The sequence below is a fragment of the Homo sapiens genome, chromosome 7 (genome assembly GCF_000001405.40).
Source record: "Homo sapiens chromosome 7, GRCh38.p14 Primary Assembly".
Lineage (NCBI taxonomy): Eukaryota > Metazoa > Chordata > Mammalia > Primates > Hominidae > Homo > Homo sapiens.
Window position 1 is genome coordinate 6050749 of NC_000007.14, and position 9987 is coordinate 6060735.

General features: G+C 45.6%; 1 protein-coding gene and 1 pseudogene across 2 annotated transcripts in view, besides 2 other annotated features; one reads left to right on the plus strand and one right to left on the minus strand.

Moving 5' to 3' along the window:
* EIF2AK1 (eukaryotic translation initiation factor 2 alpha kinase 1) overlaps nucleotides 1-8427 on the minus strand; it is a 36929-nt gene extending 28502 nt beyond the window's left edge. For both annotated transcript variants that reach the window (NM_001134335.2, NM_014413.4), the window contains exons 1-2: nucleotides 8218-8427; nucleotides 3798-3956 (exon numbers count right to left, since the gene is read on the minus strand). In NM_001134335.2, coding sequence (NP_001127807.1) covers nucleotides 3798-3956; nucleotides 8218-8335 — 277 coding nt within the window. In that variant the 5' untranslated portion in view covers nucleotides 8336-8427. The remainder of the gene's footprint in view (nucleotides 1-3797; nucleotides 3957-8217) is intronic.
* Nucleotides 6752-6856, plus strand: RNU6-218P (RNA, U6 small nuclear 218, pseudogene; annotated as a pseudogene).
* Nucleotides 8084-8153: a silencer, noted in NCBI's record as "silent region_17932". NCBI's record gives its function as "represses an Ori minimal core promoter by ATAC-STARR-seq in GM12878 lymphoblastoid cells {active_cell/tissue: GM12878}" and the evidence as "EXISTENCE:reporter gene assay evidence [ECO:0000049][PMID:35858748]".
* Nucleotides 8224-8423: a silencer, noted in NCBI's record as "silent region_17933". NCBI's record gives its function as "represses an Ori minimal core promoter by ATAC-STARR-seq in GM12878 lymphoblastoid cells {active_cell/tissue: GM12878}" and the evidence as "EXISTENCE:reporter gene assay evidence [ECO:0000049][PMID:35858748]".

Sequence of the window (9987 nt, forward strand, 5' to 3'; positions counted from 1 at the left end):
CCTGCCACCAGGCCCAGCTAATTTTTTTGTATATTTAGTAGAGAAGGGGTTTCACTGTGTTAGCCAGGATGGTCTCGATCTCCTGACCTCGTGATCCACCCACCTTGGCCTCCCTAAGTGCTGGGATTACAGGCATGAGCCACTGCACCCGGCCTATAATTACTTCTCTTACCCTGTACAGTCACTTGTTTACCAAGACTAGTCAGTAAAGTACTAAGCCATTTCTAAAAAAAGGGCAAACAAAAAAAAGAGTAAACAAACTCTTCTGACATTCCACACATTACCCTTTGCTGTTAGGCAGTAAGAGAAGAATAAGAGCAGGAGGGCAAACATATGATGAGAACTTACAACAAAAGTGACCATTCATCGTCACGAAATACCTTTAACCAACATACAAAGAGCCCATGGTACACGTGTGTAAACCAAATATCAAGCTCCTTAGAAAAAGTAAGTTTCCACAAAGGTGCCTTGGCTCCTACTCATTCAACAAATACAGATACCAATGAGGACATTTTTTTTTCTTTCTTTTTTTTTTTTTTTTGAGACAGACTCTCACTCTGTCGCCCAGGCTGGAGTGCAATGGCACGATCTCGGCTCACTGCAACCTCCATCTCCAGGGTTCATGCGATTTTCCTGCCTCAGTCGCCTGAGTAGCTGGGATTACAGGTGCACACCACCACGCCTGGCTAATTTTTTTTTGAGACAGAGTCTCACCCTGTTGCCCAAATTGGAGGGCAGTGGAGCGATCTCAGATCACTGCAACCTCCGCCTCCTGGATTCTAGGGATTCTCATGCCTCACCCTCCCAAGTAGCTGGGATTACAGGCACCCGCCAACATACCTGGCTAATTTTTGTATTTTTAGTAGAGATGGGGTTTCACCATGTTGGCCAGGCTGGTCTCGAACACCTGACCTCGTGACCCGCCCACCTCAGCCTCCCAAAGTGCTAGGATTACAGGCGTGAGCCACCGTGCCCCACCAAGGATATTCTTTCTGCATCAAAAACTCTACAGTTATGAAAGCCACATTTGTTGCTAAAAAAAAAGAAAAAAGAAATAGAAAACTCTCCATTTAGATTATCAACTCACTGATTACATCAAAAACATTTATTTAAATAACCTTGTTTTAAACTTCAGTCATCTAGACTGGGCATGGTGGCTCACACCTGTAATCCCAGCACTTTGGGAGGCCAAGGCCAGTGGATCATGAGGTCACGAGATCGAGATCATCCTGGCTAACACAGTGAAACTCCGTCTCTACTAAAAATACAAAAAATCAGCCGGGCGTGGTGGTGGGTGCCTGTAGTCCCAGCTACTTGGGAGGCTGAGGCAAGAGAATCGCTTGAACCCAGAAGGTGGAGGTTGCAGTGAGCCGAGATCGCACTACCGCACTCCAGCCTGGGCGACAGAGCAAGACTCCTTATCAAAAAAAAAAAAAAAAAAAGTCATCTAAAGAGGCTGTATATAAGGAATTCAAAATTATCTTAAAATCAGTAAAATTCACAGGATTGCTTTAATCATGTACAAGATTACTGTATTTTTCTAATCTGCTTCTCTATTTGATGAGACTAATACAATAATTCCCAGTCACCAATGCTTCAGAACCTAAGGAATACACTTCCTTCTGTTCACCCCACCTCCCACCACATATGCCACTGCTTGGAATGCAGAGTGTATTATTTGCTTTATTCAAGAAGCAGTAGGTGTACAATGTACAGATATTTGTACCATTTTTCATGTCCCATCAAGTTTATCAAAATGATAATGTATCTTTAACTAAAAACGCATTCAGTTTTAAGACCACATAAAAGTATCTATAAGTTTGAGACTGTTTTGGTAAAAAAAAAAAAAAAAAAAAAAAGAACCTCAGAATCTCTGGCTGGAACTATTCTTTTTTTTTTTTTTCTCTAGAGGCAGAGTCTTACTATGTCACCCAGACTGGAGCACACTGGTTACTCACAGGAGTGATCAAAGCACACTGAAGGCCGAGGCGGGTGGATCACCAGGTCAGGAGTTCGAGACCAGCCTGAACAACATGGTGAAACCCCGTCTCTATTAAAAATACAAAAATTACCCGGGCATGGTGGCACGTGCCTACCCCAGCTACTCGGGAGGGTGAGGCAGGAGAATCACTTGAACCCGGGGGGCGGAGATTGCAGTGAGCGGAAATCGCGCCAATGCACTCCAGCCTGGGCAACAGAGTGAGACTCCATCTCGAGAAAAAAAAAAATTGTGAGCATTATCATAGTATAGATGCAAAAGAACTATATTTCATTTATTCAATTTTATGCAATTATGGGATCCACAGTTATATTTGTAAGGAATTACTCAAAGAAAAATGTAAGCTGAATTGAAGTAGGGAAATCATTAATATTTATTTCACTCCAATTTTTGTATACCAGACGCTTTCCAGACTCACAGCATTAAACAACATATTTTTATTTTGTATTTTTAATTTTTGTGAGTATATGGTAGATGTATATATTTATGGGGGTACATGAGATATTTTGATACAGACATGTGATGTGTAATAATCACATCAGGATAAATGGGGTATCCATCATCTAAAGCATTTATCCCTTCTTTGTGTTACAAACAATCCAATTATATTCTTTTCGTTATTTTTATTTTGTTGAGACTGAGTCTTGCTCTGTCGCCAGGCTGGTGTGCAATGGCGCGATCTCAGCTCACTGCAACCTCCGCCTCCCAGGTTCAAATGATTTTCCAGCCTCAGCCTCCCAAATTACAGCTGGGATTACAGGTGCCCGCCACCATGCCCAGCTAATTTTTGTATTTTTAGTAGAGACAGGGTTTCACCATGTTAGCCAGGATGGTCTCGATCTCTTGACCTCATGATCCACCTGCCTCAGTCTCCCAAAGTGCTGGGATTACAGGCGTGAGCCACCGCGCCCAGCCCATTCTTTTTTTTTTTTTTTTTGAGATGGACTTTAGCTCTTGTTGCCCAGGCTGGAGTGCAGTGGCGTGATCTCGGCTCACTGCAACCTCCGCCACCCGGGTTCAAGCAATTCTCCTACCTCAGCCTCCCAAGTAGCTGAGATTACAGCCATGTGCCATTACGCCTGGGTAGTTTTGCATTTTTTTTTTAATAGAGATGGGATTTCACCATGTTGGTCAGGCTGGTCTCAAACTCCTGACCTCAAGTGATTCACCCACCTTGGCCTCCCAAAGTGCTGGGATTACAGGCATGAGCCACTGCACCTGGCCATCTTTTTTATTATTTTTTAAATGTACAATAAATTATTGTTGACTGTAGTCACTCTGCTGTGCTATCAAATACTAGATCCAATTTATTCTAACTATATTTTTGTACCCATTAACCATCCTCCACTATCCTCCCAGCCTCTGGGAACCATCATTCTACTCTATCTCCATTAGTTCAATTGTTTTAATTTTTACCTCCCATGAATAAGTGAGAACAGCAACACAGTATTTTTACAAGCTTTATTTATTTATTTTTGAGACAGTCTCACTCTTTCACCCAGGCTGGAGTGCAGTGGCGCTATCTCGGCTCACTGCAACCTCCACCTCCCCAGTTCAACTGATTCTCCGCCTCAGCCTCCCGAGTAGCTGGGGTTACAGGTGCCTGCCACAACACCCGGCTAATTTCCATATTTTGAGTAAAGAGGGGGTTTCGTCATGTTAGCCAAACCGATCTCGATCTCCGGACCTCGGGTGATCCGCCCACCTCAGCCTCCCAAAGTGCTGGGATTACAGGCATGAACCACGGAGCCCAGCCTTTACAAGCTTTATTTAGCAAGATTCATTTATTCTTACTTACGCTTAAACACCTGTCTTGAACGAAGTGGGTTTGGTTCATGCACGTGGCTCAAGTGCTCCAGCAAAGAAACCAGCAAGAGTTGGTTTGCAACTGCAAAAGGGAAGGTTGGCTGTTGTAGGGGTTCTTTTAACACCTGGATTTCTGCTGGAACATCAGATTCTAAAAATTAAAAAGGAAAATATTTTTAAATTAATGGTAAACCTGTCTCATAATGACAAAACCGTATATTCTAATTAATGAAACATGAAATATTTAAATGTAAGCAGATAAAAACCAAAAGAATAGTTATGCTGAGTTGGGTTAATCAAGAAAGGCTTTCTGGAAGTGAATTTGGAGCTGAATCCTGGAAGCTGGAGGATCAGCAGAAAGATGCCGTGAGACAGAGGAGAAACAGTTTTCTGATGTGTCCAATAGTACAAATAAATCAATACGCAAGGAAGTGGGACTAGGATGGCTTCCTTCCTTTGAGAAGACAGCCAAGACCCAGGCATAAAGAAAGAAGTTAGGCAGAGGATGGCCGGGCGCGGTTGTTCATGCCTGTAATCCCAGCACTTTGGGAGGCTGAGGCCAGTGGATCACCTGAGGTCAGGAGTTTGAGACCAGCCTGACCAACATGGAGCAACACCATCTCTACTAAAAATACAAAATTAGCCGGGCAGTGGTGGCAGGCGCCTGTAATCCCAGCTACTCAGGAGGCTGAGGCAGGAAAATAGCTTGAACCTGGGAGGCAGAAGTTGCGGTGAGCCGAGATCAACCATTGCATTCCAGCCTTGGCAACAAGAGCGAAACTCCGTCTCAAAAAAAAAAAAAAAAAAAAAGAAGTTGGGCAGATGACAGAGGGAAAGATAGGAAAAATGGAAACTTTTCTCGATGAGCGTGTGCTACTTATCTACATGTACAATCTCCTTCAATGCTCAAAAAATAATATAAGGTAAGTGTTCATCCTCATTTTACAGATGAAAACACTGATCTCAGAGAGGCTGAGGAACCAGTGAACAAGGCAGATCAGACTGACTCCCGAACCCCATCCTCTTTGCACTGTATGAGACCATGCAGACAGACGAGTTGGCACTAAGGCTGAAGGTCGTTAAGTTCTCACTTACTGTTTATTTAAGACATGACTAAACAGGTAAAAAAAAAAAAAAAAAAACCTAGCTGGGCACAGTGGCTCATGCCTGTAATCCCAGCACTTTGAGAGGCCGAGGCAGGCAGATCACCTAAGGTCAGGAGTTCGAGACCAGCCTGGCCAACATGGAGAAACCCTGTCTCTACGAAAAAACAAAATTAGCCAGGCGTGGTGGCGCATGCCTGTAATCAATCCTAGCCACTCAGGAGGCTGAGGCAGGAGAATCCCTTAAACCCAGGAGGCAGAGGTTGAGATGAGCTGAGATCGTGCCATTGCACTCCAGCCTGGGCAACAAAGTGAAACTCTGTCTCAAAAAAAAAAAAAAAAAAAAAAAAAACTAGCTGGGTGTGGTGGCTCACATCTGTAATTCCAGCACTTAGAGAGGCCGAGGCAAGCAGATCACCTGAGGTCAGGAGCTCAGGACCAGCCTGGCCAACACGGTGAAACACCGTCTCTACTAAAAATACAAAAATTAGGTGAGCGTGGTGGTGTGCACCTGTGATCCCAGCTACTCAGGAGGCTGAGGCAGGAGAATTGCTTGAACCCAGGAGGTGGAGGTTGCAGTGAGCCGAGATCCAGCCATTGCACTCCAGCCCGGGCAACGGTGTGAGACTCAGTCTCAAAAAAAAAAAAAAAAAAAAGGCCGGGTACGGTGGCTCACGCCTATAATCCCAGCACTTTGGGAGGCCGAGGCAGCTGTATCACAAGGTCAGGAGTTCAAGACCAGCCTGGCCAAGATGGTGAAACCCCGTCTCTACCAAAAATACAAGAAATTAGCTGGGTGTGGTGGCAGACGCCTGTAATCCCAGCTACTCCGGTGGCTGAGGCAGAGAACTGCTTAAACCTGGAGGGGCGGAGGTTGCAGTGAGCCGAGATCGCGCGACTGCACTCCAGCCTGGGCAACAGAGGGAGACTCCATCTCAAGGGAAAAAAAAAAAAAAAATATATATATATATATATATATAAACTCTGTCTGGACATTCTGGGCCTCTTTGGAAGAAAAGGCCATATGTCAGCACAACAGTATTCTCGGTAACCCAGGAAAAGAAAAATTTTAAAAGCTTATCTAAGATCACTCCCTTCAAAAATTATCTTTAGTTTGCAGAAACCCTTATCACAATGTTACAGAAAAGACACACTTGCATGTTTACAGCAGGGACTTTTCCTATGACATAACACTTTCTATATTACTGAGCTATAATATACCACCTTATATGTGGGGAAAAAGTTATTTGTCCATTAAAAAATAGTTTTTTAAAATTTTCTTCTGTTAATAGCCTACTGGAATTACTACCACACTCTGCTTTTGTTTCTCTTTCTGGTCAAAAATCATAGGCTTGGCTGGGCACAGTGGCTCACGCCTACAATCCTAGCACTTTGGGAAGCTGAGGCAGGAGGATCCGTTGAACCCAGGAGTTTGAGACCAGACTGGGCAACAAAAGGAGACCCCATCTCTTTTTTTTTTTTTTTTTTTTTTTTGAGACAGAGTCTCACTCTGTTGCCCAGGCTGGAGTGCAGTGGCACGATCTCAGCTCACTGCAACCTCTGCCTCCCGGACGACCCCATCTCTTTAAGAAAAAAAAAAATTATAGGTAGTATTAAGGATAAAAATGCAACAACATTTCCATGTATTAATTCCATTTGAATCAATCAAAACCATTTCAACTCGGTTTGCACCTTTATTTTTTCTCATATGCTTTCTCTTACAGGAATAACTTGTAGCTTTAAATCAATTGCAACACATTTTTTTGTTTCATGCTTCAAATCAAAGTGTATTCTCTGCAGTCATTCTATTGGAATTACCATATAGTTAAAATCTCCCTGAATCGTGCTCACTTCAGCAGCACATATACTAAAAACTGGAACGACACAGAGATTAGCACAGCTCCCGCACAAGAATGAAACACAAATTCCTGAAGCATTCCATAAAAAAAAAAAAAAGAAAAAAAAAACCTGAATCAATGTTGTTGTTGTTGTTGTTGTTTTTCCTCTGTCTCCCAGGCTGGAGTACAGTGGTGCGATCTCGGCTCACTTCAACCTCTGCCTCCTGGGTTCAAGCAAGCGATTCTCCTGCCTCAGCCTCGAAAGTAGCTGGGATTACAGGCGACCGCCACCACGCCCAGCTAATTTGTATTTTTAGTAGAGAGGGGGTTTCACCATGATGACCAGGCTGGTGTTGAACTCCTGACCTCAGGTGATCCGCCCACCTCAGCCTTCCAAAGTGCTGGATTACAGGCGTGACCCCACTGGGCCAATGTATTCATTCTTAATAGCACAATTTAATTTTTAATATTGCTAAAACACCTGGCAGCAACTAAAGACTCTATTTCACTTTCATCAAAATTGTGGACTCTTTCACCTAGTTAGAGTCAATGTTTTAAGCATCTCTTACTCTATGCTAAGTAACTTAGCTACCCCGTATCTCCTAGTAAACAAAAGCCTCAAGAAAACTTGGGGGCTGAGAGTGGTGGCTCACATCTATAATCCCAGCATTTTGGAAGGCCGAGGCGGGAGAATCGCTTGAGGCCAGGCGTTCGAGACCAGCCTGGGAAACACAGCAAGACCACATCTCTGCAAAAAAAAAAAAATTAAAAAATTAGCTGGGCACAGTGGTGTGCACCTGTGGTCCCAGCTACTCGGGAGGCTAAGGCTGGAGGATCACTTGAGCCCAGGAGTTGGAGGCTGCAATGAGCTATGATTGTGCCACTGCACTCCAGCCTGGGTGACACAGCAAGCCTGTCTTCAAAAAAAAACTTGGGCCTTTTTATTAAACCAAAGACGTTTATTTATTTCCACGCTGCCTCACTATAAGAAATCTTTAGTTCTCCTTCCAATGAAGCAAAAGACAAGAAAAGCTCCAATGAAGCAAAAGACAAGAAGAGCTACAAATTACAACTCTTAACCCAAACTATTCAGCGTATAGTTTGCAAAGTCTCCTTGCAGTAATGAAAGAAGATCGTTCTCAACCAATGACAAAACCCAGGGCATGGGGGCAAGACGGTGGCCTCGGGGATGTCCCCAGCCATCCGAAGGCCTCAGTCCCCAGAGAGGAAACCAAGGAACAGAAATGTAAACAAAGGAGGGAGAGGCAGACGTTCTTTTCAATAAATATTTACCTTACCCGACGGCCCGCCCGCCGCCCCCCCTCGCACTGCGCGGCTGGGCCGCCGGTTCAACCCTGGAGGCAGCCAAAGTCGCCCAGGTCCTCAGGCAAACCTCAGGGCTGCCTTTGCCGCCCAGAAACGCAGGTGGACAGAGAGAGCAGAGCGGCGACGCCGCGATCCGATCCCTCACCGTCATATTCGGGGTCCGGGCCCTCGGCGGGAAAGTCGATGGCCGGCGGCGCAGCCACAGCCCCAGCCCCGTCGCCCTCCTCTTCGCGCTTGCGGACCCCGGAGTTGCCCCCCTGCATCGCCGGCCGCGCGCGGGCCGCAGCCCAGCCCGCCGGCCAGCCCAGCACTGCCACACTCCGATGCTGCAGCTAGCGCCGTCCGACCCGGAAGTAACCCCTCACCAGACGGAAAACCAGCCTCCGCCACGCGCGCACCTTCACTGGGGGCGGGGCTGTAGCAGACTCCGCCCTTTATCAGACAAGAAGAGTTGGGCGTGTCCGGCCCCGGCGTACCCCCGGCGCATGCGCTCTGGTGGGCTCGTCTACCGGCGGCTGGGTTTCAGGGGCGCCCAGGTGAACCCTGGCCTAGTTCCCAGCTACCCCAGAAGGGTCTTAGCGCTCACGTCTCACGCCCAGACTCGAATGTCAGTGTAAGAATCAGGTGTCTGCAAAGACTAATCGAAACATATTTACCTTTTGTGGGTACAGCAATGACTTTGGTCATTTGTTTTCCAGGAAAAAAATTTTAAAAAGCATTTTCAAAACCTGTCTCAAGGAGACCTGAACCTATTTTGGTCAACTGTTATGCCACAAAAAAACGGGAGATGCCGCCGGGCGCGGTGGCTCACGCCTGTAATCCCAGCACCTTTGGGAGGCTGAGGCGGTGGATCATGAGGTCAGGAGATCGAGACCATCCTGGCTAACACGGTGAAACCCCGTCTCTACTAAAAATACAAAAAATTAGCCAGGCGTGGTGGCGGGCGCCTGTTAGTTCCAGCTACTCGGGAGGCTGAGGCAGGAGAATGGCGTGAACCCGGGAAGCGGAGCTTGCAGTGAGCCGAGATTGCGCCACTGTACTCCAGCCTGGGCGACAGAGCAAGACTCACTCTCAAAAAAAAAAAAAAACGGGAGATGCCAACTACATTCCAAAACGCGCAGTGAATCCAACCTAACAGAAATTCCTCTTAGAATTTACAACTGAAATGTTTTCCTTAAAAAAAAAAAAAAAAAAAATTTAGGTTGAGGGATACAGGTGCAGGTTCGTTTTCCAAACTAAAACCCCCCGCCCTGGCCACACTCCATCTACTATGGGTTGAAACCCTCAGATTCAAAAATCCACCCTAAGCCGGGCGCTGTGGCTCACACCTATAATCCCAGCACTTCCGGAGACCAAGGTTGGGGGATCACCTGAGGTCAGGAGTTTGAGATCAGCCTGGCCAATATGGTGAAACCCCCGTCTCTATTAAAAATACAAAAATTAGTTGGGTGTGGTGGCGCGCTCCTGTAATCCCAGCTACTCGAGAGGCTGAGGCAGGAGAATCGCTTGAACCCGGGAGACAGAGGTTGCAGTGAGCAGAGATCGGGCCTCTGCACACTGCACTCCAGCCTGGGTGACAGAGCAAGACTCCATCTCAAAAAAAAAAGAAAAAATTATCCTTAATTTTCATGGATCAGCTACAGCTGGAATAAAAATCTTTCAGCTTTTGGACCTCACCCACAGCACGATGTGTAAAAGTGGTATTGTTTAAGAATTCTATTTGAACTTGTTTTCCATAGACAGTCATACTTGGATGCATTCAGCTTGGTAGAGGCAATTAAAGGTGTAGTTCTCTTAAACAGCAACTCAAAGTACTGTAAAGATAGATAAAGAAAATAAAGAAAAATAAAAAATAAAGGTATAGTTCTCCAGATAGATTAGATTCCAAACATTAGAGATGGGCCAGGCGCGATGG